At 41.7% G+C, this 25,287-nt stretch overlaps 2 protein-coding genes and 1 long non-coding RNA gene across 6 annotated transcripts in view, besides 1 other annotated feature; 2 read left to right on the top strand and 1 right to left on the bottom strand.

The window, feature by feature from the left end:
• Positions 1–21,224, top strand: part of SCG5 (secretogranin V) — a 55,383-nt gene extending 34,159 nt beyond the window's left edge. Inside the window, exons 3-6 of one of the 4 annotated variants that reach the window (NM_001144757.3) lie at positions 3,898–4,047; positions 8,689–8,801; positions 15,842–15,895; positions 20,646–21,224. In NM_001144757.3, coding sequence (NP_001138229.1) covers positions 3,898–4,047; positions 8,689–8,801; positions 15,842–15,895; positions 20,646–20,741 — 413 coding nt within the window. In that variant the 3' untranslated portion in view covers positions 20,742–21,224. The remainder of the gene's footprint in view (positions 1–3,897; positions 4,048–8,688; positions 8,802–15,841; positions 15,896–20,645) is intronic. The other 3 variants (NM_003020.5, NM_001394278.1, NM_001394279.1) reach the window with 3 other exon arrangements.
• ARHGAP11A-SCG5 (ARHGAP11A-SCG5 readthrough) overlaps positions 1–21,230 on the top strand; it is an 81,623-nt gene extending 60,393 nt beyond the window's left edge. The window contains exons 11-14 of the mRNA NM_001368319.1: positions 3,898–4,047; positions 8,692–8,801; positions 15,842–15,895; positions 20,646–21,230. Of these exons, the coding sequence (NP_001355248.1) occupies positions 3,898–4,047; positions 8,692–8,801; positions 15,842–15,895; positions 20,646–20,741 (410 nt within the window). The 3' untranslated portion in view covers positions 20,742–21,230. The remainder of the gene's footprint in view (positions 1–3,897; positions 4,048–8,691; positions 8,802–15,841; positions 15,896–20,645) is intronic.
• On the bottom strand, positions 10,994–14,395 carry LOC105370756 (uncharacterized). The gene is made up of 2 exons (XR_932083.3): positions 14,327–14,395; positions 10,994–11,477 (listed from the first exon to the last, which is right to left on the bottom strand). It is a non-coding gene; the product is annotated as an uncharacterized LOC105370756 (long non-coding RNA).
• Positions 24,660–24,954: a silencer, noted in NCBI's record as "tiled region #2498; HepG2 Repressive DNase matched - State 5:Enh". NCBI's record gives its function as "represses a minimal TATA promoter and a strong SV40 promoter by Sharpr-MPRA in HepG2 cells {active_cell/tissue: HepG2}" and the evidence as "EXISTENCE:reporter gene assay evidence [ECO:0000049][PMID:27701403]".

Here is a 25,287-nt window from a genome sequence, read left to right on the forward strand (position 1 = left end):
GATTATATATTATGTGCTCAATGCATATTTTTAGATTATTTGTTGTTGGTTAGTGCAGTAAGATAGTTAAGGAGGCTGGGATGAATAGACCAAATGGCATCCATAGCATCATATTATTTTGTTTGACTTGGCTTCAGGTACAATAGATCAATATAACCTAAATATTATAATGAACCAGATAACTGCATTTGGCCCTTTGCAACTGTATAATATTAAAATTATTATATTTTCTATACCTGTTTAATTGTCTATAAAATTCTAGCTCCTGGAGTGCAAAGGACAGCATTTTTTACTTCTGCATATCTCCCTCAGTTCCTACCTCAGTGAGTGTTTCTTGATCTGACATCATTAAATGCAGTTTAAAAAGAGTCTGTGTTCTAATCTGTCTGCTTAGTGCTAAACATCTGTTGCTTCCTAACAAGTGCTGCATTCATTTTAATGGCACTGGTGCACAGAGGTAAACGGAGCTTTGGCAGGCCTTCCATAAGAGAAACTGTTTGCTTCCTTCATTAATTACTAATGGAGCATTAAGACACGCATTCTGCCTTGAGCCAAGTTGGATAATTCCTGGCACTTAATGCTAGGGTGCTTTCAAAAGTTGAGACATGTACTGACACACCAGAGAGCCTGCCCTATAGCAAGCACAGTGGTGTCTATAGTGCCAACATTATATAAAGCTTCAAATATATCAATACCAAGTGTACTGATATGTCTAACCTTTGCATCTATTGGGTTAATGTGGAATCATAGGTATCCCTACACTAGCTCTGAAGGTAGCTATCACAAATGAGCTGGATGAATCATCAGAAAGATACAGAAAGGTTAAAAATAAAAGGATAATCAAAGATTTACCAATTAAACACAAATCAACAGAGTGAGAGTGGCAAGCTAATAGAACTATAAATCAACATCTGATTTATCAATTTATATTTAGCAGCCAATTGCCAACACAATTAAAATGAAACATTTATACCCTTGGATATGCTAACTAGTACAGCATCAAAATGATAAAAACAGTAAGAAATAAGAGAATGACAGTCACTTATTGTTAGTAGTAGATTTTAACATATAGCCATCAGATTATGATAGACTAGAGATAAAATATGAATATGGATATAAAAAGAATATAATTATAAATGTTGATAAATTGGCTATATTTAGATGTTTATGGGTTATATAAAATACCTTATATTACATATTCACATGGAAATTTTACAAAAATAATATGGTAGTTTACAAAAGAAATAGCATTTTTTTTAAATGCAGATATTTTACAGTTTCTCTCATTACAAAGCAGTGACCTAGATCTGGGCTAGATACTTCTCATCATTCTCATTACAAAGCAATGAAATATAATATAAATGTAAACAAAACAAGCGAACAACCACTCGATGTTGCCTGAATGCGGGGGCTAGAGGAATCAGCAGAGGTAAGATTGTCCTTTTAAGGTTAAACTTTAATCAACACAGCACACAAAGCCAGAGTGATGCAATGTCACTTCAGAGAGAAAATATGATCCCCAGGACACTGAGATCTAGTCATGATTCTACTGAATATATTAACATTTCCAATGGGGGAAAAAAGTGTGAATCCAACGAAGAGCTGGCTCAGCCAAAACAAACAAAGGCAAGTGCTAGTGTTCATCCAGGGACAAGGGAGCCTCATTCAACTAGACTTAACTAATCCAGCCTGTGGCAGGATCCTCCTTCATGAGAAGATGGAAGCATGGTGTTGTTTTTGCCTGGTTTTGCTCAAATGTCATGCACACCAGGCACCTTTTGATTGTAAACCAGCCTTTCCTGTATTGGTCTGCGTACACCATGATTGTCCCTTAGGGGAACTGTGAGTGTGGGGCTCCTCTGTCCTCATGGAGTTGGTAAGTATGAAATCCTTCTAAGAAATGATCTGCTGTGGTCCTGGAAAAGGAAGCTTCATGAGCCTTATAGAATGTTAAGGCTACAAGGAAAGAAAGTCCAGAAATTAACATACATTGGTATGTTAACTTGGTAACTTAGTAAAACAAGTTATGGAGTAGAAGTTGTTCTTATTCACTGCTGTGTTTTGGTGCTCAGAATAGGTTTTCGTATGTATGAGACACTTAAGTATTTGGTAGAGACATGAAACAAGTAGGAAAGGACAGAATTATTTAGCAAATGCTGGTGGGATAATTGATTAACTGTTTGACATACACTGAAATAAATAACATGGATTAAAGAGTTAACTTACAAATAGAAAATTAAAAGAATGATCCAAATGTCAGTAGTACTTCTGAAGGGGCAACGATTTTGTGCATTTAGAAGGATAAGAAGAAATCACAAGGGGAATAAAAATGACAAATCTGACTACATAAATATTAAAAACGTATGTTAGCAAAATACTATAATAGTAACCAGAATTCAAACTCAGACAACATGGGAAAATATTTTCAGAAAATGCGACAGCCAAAGGCCTTGCATCTTTATTATGTAAAATGTTCATACAAATTGATAAGAAAAACACTGAAATTCCAAGAGCATAAACAAACAGCTCACATAAAAGAAATTAAAATTAGTAAATATATGGGAAGATATTTGACCCAGCTGGTAATCAAAGACATTCAAAATAAAACAGTAATTTTAAAAAATTTGAATTAGCAAAGAAAATCTAAAAATTGATTTTCATAAAACCCAATGCTTGTGAGAATGTTGCAAAAGTTGTATTTCATATTTTGCTGCTGATGGCTTATAAATTGGTACCTCGTTTTTGGAAAACAGTTTGGCAATACAATATCAAGAGTCATTAAAATGTTTTATAGCCTTTGACCTAGTAATTTGACTTCTGGGAATCTATCCTGAGGAAAATTAATCCAAAATATGGAAAACATTAAATGTCTAAAATGAATTGGGAAACACTAAATGTCTCACAATAGGGGATTGGTTAATATGTTGTAGTACAGCCATTGGACTAAAAACTACATAGCCATTTATAATTACAGGAATAGAGACCATGCAGCCAAATGGAAAGATGCTTGTGCTTCAATATTAAATAGAAATGAATATATACTTAGTATAAAAAGATACGTAGCAACAATTGGAGTCAATACACCAAATTTTAAGTGGTTGAGCTAAAATAGCAGGATAACAGTGACCTTATCTTTTTTCATAATGTGCTTTCAGCCTGTATTTCTGGATGGCAATTGCCTTCCTTTCTTGACCCAAGTCCTGCCCAAGCTCCACGCCCAGCTTCCAGAGCCCTACCCATCTGTGTTGATGCCACTTAGTTTCCAGCTTTTCCAAGAAGCCCTCCCATCCCATCAGCCAAATGGAACTCTCCCTTTCCCATGCTCTTTTTTTTTTTCTTTTTTTGAGACAGAGTTTTGCTCTGTCGCTCAGGCTGGAGTGCAGTGGCATGATCTTGGCTCACTGCAACCTCCACTTCTCGGGTTCAAGTGATTCTCCTGCCTCAGCCTCTTGAGTAGCTGGGATTACAGGCACCTGCCACCATGCCTGGCTAGTTTTTGTATTTTTGTTTTTTAGTAGAGCCGGGGTTTCATTATGTTGGCCAGGCTGGTCTTGCACTTAGACCTCAGGTGATTCGCCTACCTCGGCTTCGCAAAGTGCTGCAATGACAGGCATGAGCCACCAGGCCTGGCCCCTTTCCCATGCTCTTGTGATGCTGTATTAACATTTCTTTTACAGGATAATATACAGTTTGCCTTGTATGGAAATAATATGTGTACAGTATGTGTCTGTTTCTGCAACTAAATTTCTAAACCCCTAGAGGGCAAGAACCATTTCATTTATTTTTCTCTCCCCACAGCAGAAGGCACAGGGCTTTTCCTGTGTGATATGCCTGAATAAATATTGGTTGAAATTAATTGAATTGCACTGCAATGAACTACTTCTGATTCCCTCGCAGGTGGAGCTCATGAAGGACTTCAGCATTTGGGTCCTTTTGGCAACATCCCCAACATCGTGGCAGAGTTGACTGGAGACAACATTCCTAAGGACTTTAGTGAGGATCAGGGGTACCCAGACCCTCCAAATCCCTGTCCTGTTGGAAAAACAGGTAACAGATATGCCTTTGGGTTCCCATGAAAAGTTGGGGCTTTGGAAGGAAATCAGAAATTCTAACATCAGCTACAAATATTCCCAGAAATTGTTATTTCCATTCTGATGAGCCCATGTGTATTTGTAAGTAGATGGGAAGGGGAAATTTATTCTAGAATTTTTATATGAGCTCTGTGTTCAGACACACCCACATAGGATTTTCCCTTGCCAAGGCTTTACTTTCTTTCTGTGTCTCCCCTTCTTTGGGAATTGATGCACTTTTCTGCACTTGCTACTCTTTTTTTTTTTTTTTTTTTGAGACAAAGTCTCGCTGTGTCACCCAGGCTGGAGTGCAGTGGTGTGATCTTGGTGCACTGCACGCTCCGCCTCCCAGGTTCATGCCATTCTCCTGCCTCAGCCTCCCGAGTACCTGGGACTACAGGCGCCTGCCACCACTCCTGGCTAATTTTTTTTTGTATTTTTAGTAGAGACGGGGATTCAGCGTGTTAGCCAGGATGGTCTCAATCTCCTGACCTCATGATCCACCCTCCTCGGCCTCCCAAAGTGCTGGGATTACAGTCGTGAGCCACTGCGCCCGGCCTGCACTTGCTACTCTTTTAATGAAAGGGGAAACACTTTTTTTTCCTTTTCCATGATACAACTTCTGCTGAGTTTTAATGTCTTTGGAACTAGTTAGTTTGTGGATTATCCATGCCTGTTTGTTCTCCTCGTTGATCATGACAGTCAACATTCTAACAGTGTCATGCATCAACACCGAGTTAGCATCTATCCTAAAATCCTGTTTATTTGGGGGCCAGGAGGTGGCATGGGAGAGAAGAGGTTCAGGAAGAAGCTGGTTAAGGAAGAAGGTTGAAATTTTCCATGTTGTTCATGCATCCCACCCACTTTCCTACCCACTAATGCCATAGAGAATGGTGAGTGGGCTTCACTTACATCCGGCTTTGAGCAGCTGACCTTGGTGGTTAAGAGTAGTGGCTCTAGACTCTGACTACCTGAGTTCAAACTCCAGGTCAACCTGTGTGACCTTAAACAAGTTAATTAACCACTTCGTACCTCAATTTCCTTATTTGCAAAATGGAGGTCATTGTGGGAATTAAATAAAATTATCCATGTAAAGCATTTTAGCACAGCACCTAGCACAGAGTAAGGACTCTTTAAATGTCATCCTGATTATAATTAGCTTTGCTGCCCCTAGTAAATAATGCACCTCTTACCTTGGGCTTGTGTTAGCTTCTAGCACCAGAGTAGTCTTTTCCTGCAAGCCTAATAATAATAATAGTTGGTATTTATCAGGTTGGTGCAAAAGTAATTGCACTTTTTACTATTGCTTTCAATAGGAAAAACTGCAATACTTTTGCACCAATCTAATATTATTTCTACTTTATATTAAGAAAACAGAAGCTTAGAGAGTAGCTTGCATAAGGTTATCCAGGTAACAAGTAGCTGAACCAAGACTCAAACCCAAGTCTACCTGATTAAGGACTGTGTACTCAACCACCAGGACATACTGCCTTGCTCTGAAAATTGTGATAACATTGACTACTCAACTTTTTTTCTTTTTCTTTTTCTTTTTTTTTTTTTTGAGATAGGGTCTTACTTTGTTGCCCAGGTGGGAGTGTAGTGGCACAATTATAGTAATTCTGTGCCTCAGCCTTCCAAGTAGCTGGGACAACAGGTGTGTGCCACCATGCCCAGCTAATTTTTAAATTTTTTGTAGAGGTGGGGTCTCATTATGTTGCCCAGGCTAAACTCAAACTTCAGAGCTCAAACGATCCTCCCACCTTGGCCTTCCAAGGTGCTGGGATTATGGGTGTGAGCTACCACACCGAGACTTTTTTTTCTTATGATACCCATAACTAGTCTGACATCAGCTTTTCTTAAACACAATGCAGGCTGTCTCTGAAAGAGACTGTCTTAGAAAATATGCTCCTCCTTTCATTTAGGATGAGGCCTCTGTTTTCCGTGGGGCACAAAGCTTCCATCTTGAGGCAGAACAACCAAAGTAGTTGGATGTGACCAAGCCAATGTGTGGCTGCTGGGCCAGGAAGGCAGGAAAACCTGAATCCCTGCCTGGCTCTAATCATTTCAGCCACCTTCTACTTGTTTGTAGGGTTTTGGATGGGTAGGAAGAAAGACTAGTTCAGAGTTTAGAGAGCGACAGTCTCCATTGTTAAGTCCATTGGATGTGGTACAGTGCAGTGGTTCTTAAAGTGTGATTCCAGGACCACCAGCAGCAGCAGCACCTGAAAACTTGCTAAAAATGCAACTTCTCAGTCCCTACCCTGATTCAACCTATTGAATCAGAAGATTCTGGGGGTGGGACCCAGGAATTTGTTGCAACCAGTCCTCCTCATGGTTCTAGTGCACACTGAACTTAGAGAATATTATAGGAGAATGGAAAGAGGTCCAGAGTTTGAGCCAAGAGATCTGACCTCTAGTGTTGACTGTAGTATGCCACTTTCACTTTCTTGAGCCTTAATGTCTTCACCTATGGAAGGAAGACATAGGCAATGCCTCCAAAGAGCATACAGTGTAGTTCTAGCTTGTCTGAAAACAAAAACAATAAAAACACAAAATCATACAGACCTGTGGAATCAAGCTCTAGTCTGTGCACTTAGGAGCTCTGAGAGGACAGCAATCAAGCTGGCCTGGTAGAATTGGACAAAATCCCAAATCCAGACACTTTCTTGTCACAGGTTGTCTGCCATTTCCTTTGCTGTTCTTCCATGAAACTAACATATTCCCTCATTCTTTGTTCTGCCACAATCTGCATTCCAAGAATGAAATCGCTTGCTAAATTTAGCCATTATTTGTGAGGAATTGCTTGAATTATGACACAACACAGCACAGTTGAGCAATCCAAGAATAAAACCTTGATTTCTCCTTTCATGCCATGCTGTCCTCTGAATCATGGCCCACTCACCCTGGATAGAGCAGCAGAGCTCAAAGAGTCCATCTCAGCCTCAGAGATAGGATGTGAATTCTAGGGCACATTTTTAAGCCCGGAGACACCTTCGGTTCCCAGAGCAGGCTTTATCTGCATCTCAGTCAGGGCCCACTCAGAGGTACACCAGAAACAATTATGAAAGGTTATAAAGGTGCCATATGCAGATTGCCTGAACTCTCTTGAATTGGTATATTTTCCTACATGTTAATTGCTATATATTGTGTAAGTTAGATAAATAGCTCACTGAAAAGTGGAGAGCCGCATTAGGGATTTGTTCAGAATGCTGATGACTTCCACACTAGCTGTATACTGCTAAGAGCTGAGAGACTGTGTACTGAAAGCTTAAGAGCAGTGTCAAGAACTAGACAACCTGGCTAATTGTAAATGGCCCCCCTTTCAGCATTGACTTTGATGTCTCATTATGTCTTTCAAATGAGACCCTCCTTCTTCCCCCTAACCCTGCACAAAATTCACAATCCCTCCTCTGTCCCCCTTTTTATTGCTGTTGTCTAAAATATATTAGACATGGGAAAAATGACTCATTTTTAGAGCATCATGCCTAGTAATAATAGAATTTACATAAAAGCAGCATCTGAGAGAGATAGCCTTCTTTCTTTGGTTTCAATGGAAAACTTGCTTGATTTCAAAGGGCAGTCATAGTATAAACTGTCAGTCAAAGGGAGATAATGGGAAGGGAACTAAAACATATTGCAAACCTATTATGTGCCGGGTGTTCTAAATGTAATCATCTCTATTCCTCACAGCAATCCCGTAGGTAAGTATTTGATTATTTGCATCTCACACATACATGAACAAACTTGGAGAGACCAAGTTAACTTTCCAAAGGAACTAAGCCTATCTATATCTTAGGAGCTGGGATTTGATCCTTGAGCTCTGCTCTTGTCTGACTCCAAAGCTTAAGCTGTTATCACAATAAAACACAACATCAAGTGCTGTGTGGAGATTGTTGTTGTTGTGTAATGTACTTTCTCCAAGAAGCCAAAGTAGTTTCTAAACTGCTTGCTCAGGAGAAAACAGAGTGGGTCATGTGCAACAGAAGTATGTTACCTAAGGAAACACTTGCTCTTGTAACAAATAAAAACATTGTATGGCTCAACGCAATAGAAGTTTATTTTTCACCCGTGTGAAGTCCTGCCAGAGGCGCGTGAGGCTGTAGTGCGGTGGATGGTTCGGCACCCCAGACTGCCATCTTTACACTTGACCCCCACAGTTGCCCTGGCAACATGTAACAAGCTGACCAGGAGATGGGGGTGGGGAATGAGGAGAAGTGGAGCATGGTATGAGAGGTTTTTATGCTTTTAGGTGATGTATTTCAATTCCAGGCCTGGGAATGGAATACATTACTTGTGCCCACATTCTGTTGGCCTCCACTCAGGCAAATGACTCCACGTGATTGCAAAGCAAGGCTGGGAAATTAGTCTAGCTGGGTGCTAAGGAGGAAAGGGAAGTGGGTTTGGTGAACAGCCAGTGAGTCTCTGCACAGGAGTGGGAGTTTGAGATGAGTAATCCTATCTAACTGGATCCTAGAGGGAAGGTGGCTGCTAGTGTTCTAAGTTACTACTGATGTGAACAGATTCTGACCTTTGGCTGCCTAGTTGTTTTTGATAAATTAACTCTTAGAATAATGATGAATGTCTTGGCCGTTCCTCAAAAACCTTTGGCTGTTTGCAGCAGATGATGGATGTCTAGAAAACACCCCTGACACTGCAGAGTTCAGTCGAGAGTTCCAGTTGCACCAGCATCTCTTTGATCCGGAACATGACTATCCAGGCTTGGGCAAGTGGGTAAGTCCTATCTCAATTGTTAGTAGATTTTGCACTTTGGTACTCTGAAGGTGCTGATGGCAGGGATGAGCAATATGGGCAGAAGGAGAGAAGAAAAATTATTTAGAAGCTAATTTTTCAGAAATCTCTGGTTGACAGAGCTTCAAGTCATGACTACTCAAAACCACACTTATGTGTCCAGGCAGCACTATACCAAATCCAACTAAAGAGACAGCAACCTAACATTGACCATAGTCTCCAGAGTCTTCTACTCTGGTCTGCTTCACAGCCTGTGTCATACACATCCTAAATTTCACCAGTGTTTCATGCATCTCTATAGGGTTTTATCAAAGGATATGATTTTTTTTAATTGACACAGAAAATTTGCAAATGTGATCTCTAAACTAAGGGAGATGATCTCTGCAGAATCAAGGGAATAAAGATGCCAGAGCTTAGAAACAGATATATATAATTCTGCTTTATAGAAAGAGAAAAAATATTCCGTGATGTGTAGCAGTGAGATTGCTGTCAGTCCTAGGTAAGTGCATATAGCTGTCAGTTAAGGGAGTTGTTTATAAGCACTTGGAAAGATAAATCATGACCATTTGGCATCAGTGTGCTAAAAACAAGTCTTGCCAATCTAATTATATTCTTCCATTTGCCAGCATTATTCATTTATTTGCCAGCTTGATGAGGGAAATGCAGTGGGCATGGTGCATTTGGACTTTTGCAAAGCATTTGACAAGATCGTTTTATGTTCCCCTATTGGAAGAGGTGGAAAGATACAGCCTAGGCAACAGAATGTCACCAAAATGGGGCTTGTTAAAGAGTCCATGTAAATAGGGAGGGAGATTTCACATGGTATTCTGTGTGTCTTAGCACTACCCCACTCCACATTTTTATCAATGTTTGTAATAATATAGAACTTGTACTTATCAGATTCCCAGAGGATGACATGAAGTTGGAAGAGATACCATCAGATGACAGAGTTGGGATTCAAGAAGATCCCAGCAGACTAGAACAATGAGCCAAACAAGATCAGAACTGAGTGGGGATATGTCTGTGTTTCTGTGGTTGGGCCAGATGCTGAAGCCATGGGAGAAAAGTGGGGAAATACCTAGGAGTGTTCCTTCACATGTAACAGTAGGTGGCCAGTACGTCTGTGGAATGAATGAGTGAGTGAATGAGCAAATATTCCAACTCCCTCAGCCCTTCTAAAGTCCTCATCTCTTCTTAGCTCATTATTGGCAGATGGCCTTGCTTACTGCTTTACTGGGAACACTGAAATTTCAAAACTAAACTCCCTCCTTTCCTCCTACATTGTTTTAGAGAAATCTTCATTAATGACCACTTTTATTTTTTTCAGCGTCTTGCTTTAACATGCATTGTCAGTTCCCTCTGTCTTCAACATACACACATTTCCTGTCTTAAAACAACAAAGCAACAACATTCCTAAGTTAATTTTGCTTCTTCCAATTTGCATTATTCCATTTCCTTCTTTTTCATAAACAGTTCTGTTTGGAAGAATTGGTTTGTGGAGCCACTTTCAAGCCTAGTAGTAGAGCTTAAACATGTTGAATTAAATAGAAAAACATCTATAGGTTCTCGAATAGGAGACTGAAATAATAAAAGCCTTCTATAAAAGAAGTTATTTTGATGGCATATTAAAGGATGAAGTAAAAGGAGAAGAGACTAACCCTAGACAGGAAGAAAATATGGGGAGTCATTTCAGTTATGATGACTGTGAACACCGTGAAGAAGGGTGAGAATCCAAGACATTTTAAAGGGGGAAAAACTAACTAGAATTGGTATACGGAATAAATATAACATGAAGAAGAAAGAAGAGATATGTCAGGTTCATATGAAATGGACAATATGAACTTTTTCTTTGAATGCATTTTAGAAAGAAAGAAAAGAGAGGAATAGAGGGAGGAAGGACATAAAAAAGAGAAGAGAGAGTGAGGGAAAGAGTAGATTGCGGAGGAGTACTGGGAAGAGATCCACAAGAGGTGATCGAAGCATTGCCAAACAGAAGCAAAAGCCAGGTTCGATAAGGCACAAAGAGAACACATTGAGCCTGCTGTGTTCCAGGCACTGTGCTAGATGCTCAGTATGCAGGAGTCATCAGGACATGGTGCTGGTCTTCAGAGAGCTTATAGTCCCACGGTTGAGATGAATTGCATGAAAATGAAATGAACCCAACTTAGCACCGCTCCACTTCATGTTTCGTCTGTATTCTGAGGGCCAGGGGCAATTATTAGGGAAGATGGAAGACAAGGGTAGAGGAAGATCCAGAACTGAGGACTGGTGTGGCTGATTGGGGTAGTAGCCACAGAGGAAGTCAAAGGCACTAAGGAGGGCAGCACTGAAGTTTCAGGTGGGAAAGTCTTCAGCTTCACCAGTAGGCTAGGAATGAGAGAAAGAAAGGAGGGAGACTGAGTCAAGGTGTGAGTGAAGGCAAGGAGCCCAGTTGGTGGCATGATGAGGTGGGAGGGATGAAAACATCTCTTTTCAGCTCTCTTCATCTCTTCTTGAAAATCTTCACAGATTTCTCTCATCAAATTCCACTCACTTCCAGTGCCCCAGTATGAGGCCAACCACGGTCCTTCATTCTCTGTGCTTCCTTCTCGAAACACTGACTTGAGTTTCTCTCAGTGTTTCCTATTCTTTGTCCACATTAGAGCTAAAGACTAGAATCTAGGATCAAATGTAAAAGGAAAATATTAGAGATCAATGACCAGGAACAATGTTTAGATACCTTTTATCATCTGCAATTATGTGTTTACTTAAACTTAGGTCTCCTTGTTTATTTTCTCATTACTACCTACCAGTAAAACATTGTTTCCTTGGTTTTCACATGGAAGTGGGAATTGAGTATGTCTTGCTTTTCTAAACTGGGAACCACAAACCTTCCTCAGTGCTTATATGGAATGACAGTCTCAAGCTTGTCTTCAGCCCAGCCATCCTTTAAGTTAACAGAGTCATCATCTTTCATGATAGAACAGCACAAAGACCCTGCTTCCTTATCTGCTAATAACGCTTCCTTGTTTTTGACAGTAGCTGGAGCTGAGCTGCATCTTTAACAGTGATTCACATATTACACATTTCAGTGTCTGTCTTGTTTCCTGCATTTCTCTCTTCGTTAGTGCATCAAGACACATTTATTAACGACACATCATATGCCTTCCGGGCCCCGTGTTAGGTAATGGGAATACAAAGATGAATGATAATAGTAATTGTATTACATAATACATAATACTATATAATACAATAGTAAATAGTAATATTTATTGACCACATACTATATGCCAGACTCCTTTCTAAATACTCAGTAATCTTATTCAATCTGCCCATCCTTGTCATTCTCACTTTCCAGATGAGAAAATGCAGGCTTGGGGAGCTGAGGAGCCTGCTCAGCCCACAGAGCTGGGATTTGAACCCCATCATCTGACTCCAGAGTACTTTACAAGCTGAATACATTCCCTATCTTTTCATGGCTCATTGCTCCTAACCTGTCCTGTGTGGTAGTCCTATTGAGTCCTACCGAGGGCTGGCTGCCTTCCAGACAATGTGTGTGACTACACCAGTGGTGACCACACCAATGGCTGGCTCCTGTACATGCCAGCTACCCACTCCCCCTTTACACATTAACTGCTGAGTGTTATTTACTTAAGAAAAAGTTGTCTCAAAAAGCAAATATTTTTCCTTTCCAAATGCTTTCACACCTTTTCATCAGTAGCTGATCACAGCCAGAGCCTGAGCCACGGGGATATGAGGGACCAGACCCCTCCCTGACTTGCTTTGTCATTCCTGACCTTAACATGTTTGATGAGTTGAATGCTCTTCAATGTGGATTTGACTCAGGTTTCCATGTGATTAGACCTGCTTAGTATTTTATGTCCTACTTAGTATTTTACATCAGCAAGCACATGATGTCAGGGAAGTTTGTCTCATGACTGGCAGTGTTCACTTTGTTAAGGTGCTGCCCTCCAGGTTTCTCTGGTGTAAAATTCCCTTAGAAATTAATAGGCCGGGCACAGTGGCTCACACCTGTAATCCCAGCACTTTGGGAGGCCGAGGCAGGCGGATCATGAGGTCAGGAGATCGAGACCATCCTGGCTAACACAGTGAAACCCCGTCTCTACTAAAAATACAAAAAAATTAGCCGGGCGCGGTGGCGGGTGCCTGTAGTCCCAGCTACTTGGGAGGCTGAGGCAGGAGAATGGCGTGAACCCAGGAGGCGGAGCTTGCAGCGAGCCGAGATAGTGCCACTGCAGTCCGGCCTGGGCAAAAGAGCAAGACTCCGTCTCAAAAAAAAAAAAAAAAGAAATTAATAGTTACTCTGTGGGAAGAAGTTTTGGGGCTGTGTAAATATTCTGCTCCTCGTTCAACTTTTAACCAACAAATATAACATCCATTGATGATGCTTACCAGATTCAATAATGATGATAGCTGCAAAATGATGATTTTCTTACTCCGCTATTCTTTCTGCATTTACTAGTTGACATTCTATTCTAAGCAAGAGTTTCCCCTGCTGTTCTATTTATTTATTTATTTATAAATGTGTTTATTTATATAGTATAAGTATGGATTCATGGATTCCATAATGCATATTATTATGTATTCTGGTGTTCAAACTGTCCTAAATTTGGCCAGTGCGAGTCTCCTCAAGCTTTCTTTTCTTTCCTTTTGACAGGACCTCATCATTTTTTTGAGCACTTCTTTATTTTCTGACCTAATTAGCTATTCCATCTTCACCCATCCTTGCACTTTCCTTCCTAGCCCTGGAATTAGACTTTTCTCCAGGAAGCTCCCTGGCTGTATTTAGGAGTGTAATTTGAAACCAGGATCTGGACAGTTGTCCAAAATCTTGATGGCACTATGGAAAGCCCTTTTAATGAACTTGAACCTGCTACTCACATGGAAAACAGGCTCACCACTCCCCAAGGAATCAACAAGGAATGGGCGTGAGGAGAGATAGCTGATTTCTTTTCATTCAATTTGTATGCTTCTCTTACCCATACCATACCTGCCAATGCCTTCAAGTCCATACAATAATAGGGCTAATTAAGAATGTCCCAGACACTTTCATGCAGGGGTAGGGAAGCATTATCCTGCTAATCCTAACCCTAGCTCTTAAGGAGACACAGGGACCATCTTTGAGAGGAAGATTAGCCAGGCCTTTTGCATTTCTTTTTTTTTTTTTTTTTTGAGACGGAGTCTCGCTCTGTCCCCCAGGCTGGAGTGCAGTGGCGCAATCTCAGCTCACTGCAAGCTCTGCCTCCTGGGTTCATGCCATTCTCCTGCCTCAGCCTCCTGAGTAGCTGGGACTACAGGCGCCCGCCACCACGCCCGGCTAATTTTTTGTAGTTTTAGTAGAGACGGGGTTTCACCGTGTTAGCCGGGATGGTCTCGATCTCCTGACCTCGTGATCCTCCCACCTCGGCCTCCCAAAGTGCTGGGGCACATTTCTTTTTGAATGAAGACTCTTATGGGTAGGATCTGCCCCCAAGATCTCCTAAAGAATTAAATGATGCTGGCTTTACCTGGCTGATGGCACAGTGGAACTCTGCCAGAGCTGGCTGACAGTCCCACCCCATGGTAGTAGCTCTCAGGTTCTTCCACACTCCATCCAGCTCAGGCAGCTGAAAACAATGGTACACATGAAGAAGACATGTCCTCACCCCTTCCCGGCCTTCCCAGCTCTAACACCAGCTCTTCGGATATTCTCTGCCTCAGGAGTTTTTACGTTCACAGAAAGGCAACCACAGACTGTAGAGAATGAGCCTCACAGCAATATCCTCATTCCTCAAGGAAATGATCTGCAAGTCTGCCTTTTCTCCCTTCCGATATTAAATTGATTTATTCCCCAAGTGAGCAGGAGATAGAGGCTGTAGCCAGTACTGGTGTTTTTGGTAGTAGAGGCTCCTTCACTCTGGCACCGCCTCCTTGCATAGTTGAGGTTGGGCAAGAGATATGCATTGTAAATTGCAGGTGGGGTAGATTTTAATGAACGTGAAAAATGATGAAGCTCATTCTTGGCATTTGTCATTTTCAATTCCAAATCTATCACTAAAAATAAGTCTTTATAAGTGGACAGCTCAGAGGATACATGTTGTATAAACTTGTTCCTTACCAGAACTCTGTGGTTGTCTTTGTTTTTTTTTTTTCTTAATGTCAGAGTATTTTATTTAGAACAAAACGAATCACCTCTTTTATACATCATTTTCCTCCAGATAAAAAAAATCAAATAAATAAAACAACACAAGTAAAGCCCCCCCCCACCGCCACCAAATCCCCTTCTCCCTTTCTGCCTTCAGGTTAAGTGTTCTGTCTTTTATAATCTCAATAGAAGGGAAATCTGTTGAGCATGTGTCTGATATTCTAGAGCTCATTGAAGCCCACTATGTGTTTGAAATACAGCAATGTGTGGAAACACTTACACAAACTGTGGTAACAGAGCCCTGCCCCCCGACCCAACATAACTTTCCTTTCTGCCAAGAAGTTTTTTGGCAGTTTTTAAAAGGTTCACTCTATTAAAAATGTTATAGACCAAATGGTTTTCCAATTGTCTTGACTGGGGGCACTGACTTAACGCCACAGACAAAATGGTTGCAGAAGTCAGAATGTCTCGTTTATTTACACAGGGGATTGTTGTTAATAGTCAGACGCTACTCTAGAGAGCAGTTTATAAAAAGGGAGTTAGATACAAAAATAAATGAGATAAAATCATTTGTTTTAAACAAAGGCTGTTCAAAGTGAGGAGATGGGTTTCCAGCACCCTTCATGTTTTAAAATGTCGTATTTCCCTGTTTATGTGATTGTTGATGACACTGGTGTGCCTCAGGGCATTGCAGAGGACTTTATTAAAAGCCGAACCACCACCAGCTTTACTCTTGTGGTCTATCTTTCTGACACGACATTCCTTTCATCTAGTTTTGTTTCCAAAATATGCGTATGCAAATATCTAGGGGACACACCAAGTATTGCTTTTAAAATAGACATTCACCAAATTTGATCCATACTTCTGCATTTTTTGTTTTCTTTTCTCCCCATTCTAGAACAAGAAACTCCTTTACGAGAAGATGAAGGGAGGAGAGAGACGAAAGCGGAGGGTAACACGTGCCTGGCTGGATTGTTGCGGGGATGCTTGGAGCTTTCTGAGTGGGGCAGTGAACAGGCTGAAACCCTCGCTTGTTGGGAAGTCACAGAATCCTCCCTTGTGTAGTCCTGAGAAACACTGGTCCATGTGACAAGGGCCACACCCAGAAAGTCTGTCCTTGGTTTCTGCGATGGCTTCCCCAGGCTTTAGCAGATGATTTTTAGTGGAACGCGCAGTCTGTAGCAATTCTAGCAACTCCATTCCGTTCAGGAAATGTGTATTGCTTCCCCCATCAGTGTGGGACATATCTGGGGGGACATGAGGGTCTGTCTGCCCTCCCAGGGTCTGTAGGCCAGTGGGGAAAAACTGATCACACATCTGCATCAATTCTATAAAAACACAGGACAGAAACAGGGAAGTGCTGAACTGCATGCTCCAGGAAATAACTTTGAAGGAATTCGGGAGCAAAAGATGAGATGAACAAACTTAATTTCTCCTATGTATCTTTTTTTCTTGGCCTAGCCAGACTGATGTAAAATCTACTAGATCTGTAATATTTGTTTGCTGTCTGTTGAATTTACTGCAGGCTTAGTTTTTAACCATCCCAGGGCTGCCCAAGGTAGGAACTTGGTCTAGATACTCCACATTTAGCTACTTCATATACAGTGTTGCCTCACGTAAAACTCAATGTCACATTTGCTTTGGCTTTCCAGGGTATTTTATAGCATCAAGACTTGATAAGTGATCAAGGTCCATTCTGCTAATCCACTGGTACCTTACTAGTCAGAAGGGCCTGGCCACCTACCTCCTTCTTTATCTGATCAGATGAAAGTGGGAGAAAAAACAACCCCACTGTTACATGGTAAAATGCTATGAGATAGTGACCATTTTAGTTAAAACATACAAACCTAAGCACGTACTCAAAGCCACTGACTATTTATTCAGAAGAGCAAGTGCCTGGATCCTCACAAAATTTGGGAATCTGGGCAGTGGTAATTGTGGCCATTCTGAAGGGTTTTGCCAAATCCGGTCAGAGAGAGCTTCAAGAGGTGTGGATTTTCTGGCCTCAGCATCAGTCCTCAGGCCCCCACAACAGAAGGTTCCAAGCCCCTGTACTGCCTGACAAAACACAGAAGACATACAGCAATTTTCTACGCGAGAAGTAGAAAATTTTTACCTCTGGAAACAAATCTTTTTTGAGGAGAGTTAACAGAGTTATTAGGGGTTTTTCTTGGTGATTACAGCTTCCAATAGCAGATGGTGACAGAAAGGGTCCAAAGGGTATAATGTGGTCTTGAGGGAACATCAAGAAATTCTATTCTAGGAACTCAAAATACACATAATTTACCAGTAACACGGCTTGAATATCTCCCTACAACACAACAAGAACATTTCCAAATAAGAGCAATGACTGACCCAAAATCAATAACTTAGCTTGAAACTTTAATTGTCTCTACTTCCTGGCCCACCATTCCTTCTGCCCTGACTCAGTGAATGACCATGGTCACGATTTAGGTCATTTTTCCGTGAGACTAGTGATTACCAAAACTCAGAATGCTGGCTAAGACACATGCTATAAAGGATTTTACTTTAGCCTCAATTTCCTCCACATAGGAAAGGCTTAGAATTTAGGAAAAGAAGGGTCACTTTGACCCAGAGATATCAAGTTCTTCCTGTTCTTGGGCATCTACAAAGACCCATTCTCATGCCATAAACCATGGGCCTCTCTGGATTGATAAGGAAGCACGTTGGCCCTGCCCATCATGAGGTCTCAGATGATGTTCCCATCTTGATTAAAGACATTAACACTGCCCCACCACCACCCCCAGTACATGAATCAATATAAAGAAACTATACGCTTTCTTTTTTGAACAATGAAGTCTTCCTTCAGTGAAGCTCAGCATCTGCTGTGAGTTTCCAGAGGACATTGTAAGCAAAGATCCAATCCCAGTGGTTCTTCCAGTTGTGAAATGGGAATCATGTTCTCTGTGTGCCCTACCCAATCTCTTGCCCAAGTGAGAGAAGACAAATATAGCAGTGCCTTGAGTTTTTCAGAGCACAATTAAAGCCAAGGCTCAGCTAGGCATGGTGGCTCACGCCTGTAATCCCAGCACTTTGGGAGGCCGAGGAGGGTGGATCACCTGAGGTCAGTAGTTCAAGACCAGCCTGGCCAACATGGTGAAACCCCATCTCTACTAAAAGTACAAAAATTAGCCGGGCGTGGTGGTATGCTCCTGTTATCTCAGGTACTCGGGAGGCTGAGGCAGGAGAATCGTTTGAACCTGGGAGGTGGAGTTTGCAGTGAGCCGAGATCATACCACTGCACTCCAGCCTGGGTAATGGAGTGAGACTCCATCTCAAAACAAAGCAAAACAAAACAAAAACAAACCCAAAGCTCATTATTATTATTCCTAAGTGCTGGATTCAATACTCAGTTAAATATTTATCAAAAAAGTTCACCTGATTCCTCTTTTTACCTCCTCATTAATTTTTCCCCTCCCCTCCAACCTTTGCATGTTGTAGGTCTGGGCAGGACTTCTCCCATGAGAGATAGATTCTCCTCAAAGTTGCAACCAAGCCCCATATGGCTTTGAACAACTTTTTGTACTCACCCAAATCCAATTGAATTCCTCATTGCTTCACAAATGAAATGTCAATCTACCTTTAAATGACTGTGAACTTTTAAACTCTTAAGCTGTATCTTGTTAATATTTGAGCTCTACTATTGATCTTATTTAAACAGTTTATGAACCTTTTAATCTCATATTTGATAAACTTGAACCTCTCATATCCTCCTTTAACATATTAGAATTTTTGGAATAAATATTACTAAACAAAATTCTGATATGATCCCCTGGGGTAGGCCAAACCACTGTAATTGATAAAAGGAATTTTTATTATTTTAAATATTTCTAAGATGAATTCTCAGCAAGGTGTTGTCTTGTGGCATGTCACTTTTCAAGTGTCTGAGGACATTGCTCACTTTGTAATTCTCACCTACTTTGTGATGCATCTTTGTAGAGTGAGTCGGACCTTTCACGATTCATGCGTTTAGCAGTCAGAATGTGAAAGAACATTTGTAAATGCTAAACTCAGGTTTCATTCCTTCTCTTTTGAAGAATGTCTGCTCACCTTTCAAGAGTCATGGCAGGTTATTTCATGGGCAAGAGAGCTCCACCTGTGAACAGACTCCATTCATACATGGGGATTGAGCATGCAACAGGGATTGCTGATCGTTTGTAACTACAGCTTCTTTCTTTCTTTTTTTTTTTTTTTCTTTTTTGAGATGGAGTCTCGCTCTGTCGCCCAGGCTGGACTGCAGTGGCGCAATCTCGGCTCACTGCAAGCTCCGCCTCCCAGGTTCCTGCCATTCTCCTGCCTCAACCTCCCAAGTAGCTGGGACTACAGGGGCCCACCACCACGACTGGCTAATTTTTTGTATTTTTAGTAGAGACGGGGTTTCACCGTGTTAGCCAGGATGGTCTCGATCTCCTGACCTTGTGATCCGCCCACCTAGGCCTCCCAAAGTGCTGGGATTACAGGCGTGAGCCACCGCGCCTGGCTACAGCTTCTTTCTTATATTTTTGTTCCATTATTGGAAGGCAACTTCAATGAACAAACATCTTCCAAAACTTTTGAATTTTTCTTCTGCTTGCTAAATACTATTTTGTAAAGTTTCAATTACTAGTTCGAATCCACACCTCAATAAATAGATATGTATTAGAGAAGGAATGGAAAAATATTTACTCATTAAGAATACCAACACATGAAAGTGATTTCAGAGTATGGAGTCTTGAGTCAAAAACAAAGGACCCTTCCCGGAAGCTTCCTTTTTTGCTTCAGTTTTTGAATTTGACTGAAGGAAGGTGGAAATGATCACTCGAGCCCCTAATGAATTCTCCTTAGTAAAATACTGGCGAGGAAGAATCAATCCCAGCAACAGGATGATCTGGGACCAGTCTTCAGATGTTAATTCCCACTTGGCCCTACTCTTCTCCTTTAGAACGTTTTTCTTGCAAAATATAATTTAATGCATTTCAGATTCCCCTTCCTACCTAAATAGGGCCATAGAATAATAATTATCTTTCTTATGGGTCTTGGTATCTAAATTAGTAGCAAGGACTTATGAGGTGGTTTACTGCACTTCTTTGCACCAAAAATAATAATTTTTAAAAAGACCACATTGTATCTGATAAAGAGCTCTATAGTTGTGTGAAAAACACAATTAGAGACATCTATCAGTCAGAAAATGTTTCATAGGCCACTGAGGTATTAATTAGTACACTGGAGTAATTGTTTGGTAGTTGGTAGGTGCCACTGGTTACATTGTTGTTAACCTAATAGGCCAGAAACAATTCTTTTCTTTTCTTTTTTCTTTTTTTTTTGAGACAAAATCTTGCTCTGTCGCCCAGGCTGGAGTGCAGTGGCATGACGTCTGCTCACTGCAAGCTCCGCCTCCCGGGTTCACGCCATTCTCCTGCCTCAGCCTCCCAAGTAGCTGGGACTACAGGCACCCACCACCACGCCCGGCTAATTTTTTGTATTTTTAGTACAGACGGGGTTTCACCGTGTTAGCCAGGATGGTCTCGATCTCCTGACCTCGTGATCTGCCCACCTCGGCCTCCCAAAGTGCTGGGATTACAGGCGTGAGCCACCGCGCCCGGCCCCAGAAACGATTCTTGTTCATTTCTTTTCTGAGATGTCTGTATCTGATGTTCACATATAACACCAAACCACATGGTTTTTGTTTGTTTGTTTTTCAGAGTGTCAATCCATATCTACAAGGACAGAGACTGGATAATGTTGTTGCAAAGAAGTCTGTCCCCCATTTTTCAGATGAGGATAAGGATCCAGAGTAAAGAGAAGATGCTAGACGAAAACCCACATTACCTGTTAGGCCTCAGCATGGCTTATGTGCACGTGTAAATGGAGTCCCTGTGAATGACAGCATGTTTCTTACATAGATAATTATGGATACAAAGCAGCTGTATGTAGATAGTGTATTGTCTTCACACCGATGATTCTGCTTTTTGCTAAATTAGAATAAGAGCTTTTTTGTTTCTTGGGTTTTTAAAATGTGAATCTGCAATGATCATAAAAATTAAAATGTGAATGTCAACAATAAAAAGCAAGACTATGAAAGGCTCAGATTTCTTGCAGTTTAAAATGGTGTCTGAGGTTGTACTATTTTGGCCAAGTCTGTAGAAAGCTGTCATTTGATTTTGATTATGTAGTTCATCCAGCCCTTGGGCATTGTTATACACCAGTAAAGAAGGCTGTACTCAAGAGGAGGAGCTGACACATTTCACTTGGCTGCGTCTTAATAAACATGAATGCAAGCATTGGCATATGGAGTTTTCTTTTTAAAGCATTATAAAGAACAATTTCTTTGTTTAATAGAACAACCTGATCTACATATATGATAGTATATGATCCAAACAATAATGCTGTGAACTTAATGGGTCTGGTATTATCCCCATTTTACAGATGGTAGAACTGAGATGCATTCAACACACTGAGATACGTTCAACACACCATTGGGAATCATCAGCAAAATCCAGCATGAAGAGTCTCTACAGGATAAGTAGCCTAGATTTTTCCAACAAATAAATGATAGGAGGGAAAAATGGTGGGGTACTATCATAGATTTTAAAAGGCTTAAGAGACATACGAGCCAAATATAATGTGTGTGGGTCTTATTTGCATCCTGACTCAAAGAAAAGCATTGATCAGACAGTCAGGGAAGTTTGAGTAGTAACTGAATATTTTGGTATGATTCAAGTGTTACACAGTATTATATTATGGCTATTTTTTTAAAAGAGCCCTTATATCTTAGGGATAAATATTGAATTATTTACAGATGATATGATGTCTTGGATTTCTTTAAAATAATCCAGTGGTAGTGATGAGGTGGAGGGCCAGGAGGGAATGGGGATATAGATAATCAAGACTGGCCATACACTGATAACTGTTGAAGCTGGGTCAAGGGTACTTGGGAGTTCATTGTACTTCTTATATCTTTTTTTTTGTTGCTTTTTTTTTTGTTTTTGAGACAGAGTCTTGATGTATCACCCAGGCTGGAGTGCACTGGTGTGATCTCAGCTCACCGCAACCTCCACCTCCTGGGTTCAAGCGATTCTCCTGCCTCAGCCTCCGGAATAGCTGGGATTACAGGTATCCACCACCACACCCTCTAATTTTCGTATTTTTAGTAGCGACTTGGTGTCATCATGTTGGCCAGGCTGCTCTCAAAACTCCTGACCTCAAGTGATCCGCCCACCCCGGCCTCCCAAAGTGCTGGGATTACAGGCATGAGCCCTCGCATCTGGCTTGCACTTCTTATTTCTATGTTTGTATGTATTTGAAAAATTCAACAATAGAACCACAGTTAATGGTTAAAAAGTAAGAGTAGATCATGGTAAGAACTGGCCTGGAGTCCAGGTGTGGTGCCTCATGCCTGTAATCCCAGCACTTTGGGAGGCCAAGGCAGGCGGATCACCTGAGGTCGAGAGTTCGAGACCAGCCTGACCAACATGGAGAAACCCTGTCTCTGCTAAAAATACAAAATTAGCTGGGTGTGGTGGCGCATGCCTGTAATCCCAGCTACTTCGAAGGCTGAGGAAGGAGAATTGCTTGAACCCAGGAGGCAGAGGTTGCAGTGAGCTGAGATGGCACCACTGCACTGCAGCCTAAGTGACAAGAGTGAGACTCCGTCTCAAAAAAAAAAAAAACAACAAAAAACTGGCCTGGAAATAGCAATGTTGGACAAGGTAGAATAAGGCTACATAAGGCTGTGGACAATGTGAGGAAGCCAAAAAGGAAGGTGAATGAAGAGTTGTCCCAAGGTGCTAGGGAAGTAGCAGAGGGATCCACGGGAGAGAAAATCTGGCTGGGGCTAGTGGTGATGAACTAGATAGTGAAGTCAGAGTGGCTGGAAGGAGAAGGGATTTTCCTGGAAAAAAAAATAGGAAACTTAGAGGCAGGAGACAAGGAGAACCTCCATTAGACAGACTCAGAAAGGCCCTTTCTTTCTGAATGGAGTCAGCTGGGCATCTGCAGCACAGACAGAGGGATTTGCCTGTGGGCTGGAGAGGGTCATTACTCCTATCTCAGTCTTCCCACAATGCTCCAGCTGAGGATCTTTGAAACCAGAAAGGTGGTTATAGTCACCCCAGAGACATGTGGAGAACAAAAGAAGAGGATGGTGCTAGCACCACAGCCATTCATCCTGATTGAACTCCCACTGTGGACACAGCCAGCTGGAGCCTCAGAGCAGTCACACAGCATGAGGAGGGGTTTACAATGGAGTCATTCTAGAAGAGAATTTCCTCCGTTCTTGCTACTGGGAGAGAGAAAATAGATTGTTGAGTGTTTCCTACAGCGTTTGTGCAAAGCCATCCTCCCCTCCCACTGCCTTCAAAGTGAGTCACGTGCCAGGTCACCAGGCTGAGTCTTCTAGGGATGGCTCTTCCAAATGTGTTTACACCCAAAGATGCAGTGTTCCGGAACACACCTGGAGGTCCTGAAGGGAGCAATTCAGAGTTGGAAGTGTTTCTGCCAGTGAGTTGGGGGTCTGTCTGGGTTGGGCAGCTACCTGGAGGTGATATGAGCTTGGAAAACTGAGTCATCCACTCGATCCACAGTTCCACAGTCACTGCCACACAATGAGGAGCAGCATGACCCTGACTCCACACTTCCCAAGACTCCTGGAACAGAATTCTATTTCTTTGGCAAGGCTGCGACGAGGACCTTTCCTATTTACTCAGCTAGGCACAAAGGAATAGCAGAAACATCTTTTCTCCTCCTCTTTCCTTTGAAACCTTTGAGAGATACCAGGCTTCACATATAAATCTCACAGATACCAGCCACAGGGTTAGGTCCTGGAGAACGAAACCCTCCAGATCCCCTATCTGTCACAGGATCACATGGTGATCACTAAAGTGCCACTGCCTTGGCCAGGGGGACAGGAGAGCCAGGAAAATGGGAACATTTATTAAAAATAAATTGTCGGCCAGGCACAGTGGCTCACGCCTGTAATCCCAGCACTTTTGTGATCCAGCCAAGGTGGGCAGATCACCTGTGCTCAGGAGTTCAAGACCAGCCTGACCAACATGGTGAAACTCCATCTCTACTAAAAGTACAAAAAAAAAAAAAAAAAATTATCCAGGCCTGGTGGCGCATGCCTGTAATCCCAGCTACTTGGGAGGCTGAGTCAGGAGAATCACTTGAACCCGGAAGGTGGAAGTTGCAGTGAGCCGTGATGGCGCCATTGCACTCCAGCCTGGGCAATAAGAGCGAAACTCCGTCTCAAAAATAAATAAATAAATAAAATAGATTGTCAGCTAGAGGAACTCATTCTTCTAGCTGCGAGTGGGTAGGGGAGGACATGGTTAATTACTTCTCTCTTATGATCCCTTTTTGTGTTCCTGTGGGACCCCACGCATACTTTCATACAGTCCCTGAAACGGGGCATAATGATAAGAGTTACTCTATATACATAACAAGCTCTGTATACATTGTTCATTTAAACATCCCGCCCTACATTTTATAGATGAAGCCATTGAGGCAGACGGATTCCATGACTTAACCAAAACTCCTCAACTAGTAAGTGGCAGAGTTGGAACTTGAATTTAGGCCTCTGGGACTCCACAGTAGACACTCTCCCCTGTACCACACTACCACCTGTTAAAAGAGAAACCTTAGACAGATTAAACTGAACAGACTTTGAGTAAAGAGCAATTTGCAAAACAGGTTCAGAGAGACTCTGCACTGCCGTGTGGTTGAAGACAACCGATGGACAGCAAAAGGAAAGTGAGGTACACGAAAAGTGAGGGACAGAAACAGCCGTATTGGTTACATTTCAGTGTTTGCCTTATCTGAACATGGTTTGAACAGTTGGCCACCTTTGGCCGAATCTCAGTGATTGGCACAAGAGTAGGTTACAGCCTGTTTACACATCCAGCTAGGTTACAGTTTGCTATGTACAGAGAAAACTTTAGGCCGAGCTTTCACTATGTAAGGAGGCAGCTTTGGGCTGAACTTAATTTGGCACACCTAATACTTGTTTACTTATTATATATGTGCCTCATTCAACTGGGTTATAAGCTCCTTGAAGCCATAGGCTGTGTCTCATTTTTCTTTTTATCTTGATATCTTGCACGCGGCCTAACAAAGGCAATAATAACTGCTGAATGAATGAGCATGATGGAATGTTTTAAAGACGTCATAAAAGGTAAATCATCTTAGACTGTGTACAGAGGGAAAGGTGGAATTACCTCTCACTTTGGTGGGATTTACAGATTGATGTGAAGTTGTGAACATGGTTCTCAAGTCTTTCTTTTCTTTTTTTAGACGGAGTCTCGCTCTGTCGCCCAGACTGGAGTGCAGTGGCACGATCTCGGCTCA

Source organism: Homo sapiens, chromosome 15, assembly GCF_000001405.40.
Source record: "Homo sapiens chromosome 15, GRCh38.p14 Primary Assembly".
NCBI lineage: Eukaryota > Metazoa > Chordata > Mammalia > Primates > Hominidae > Homo > Homo sapiens.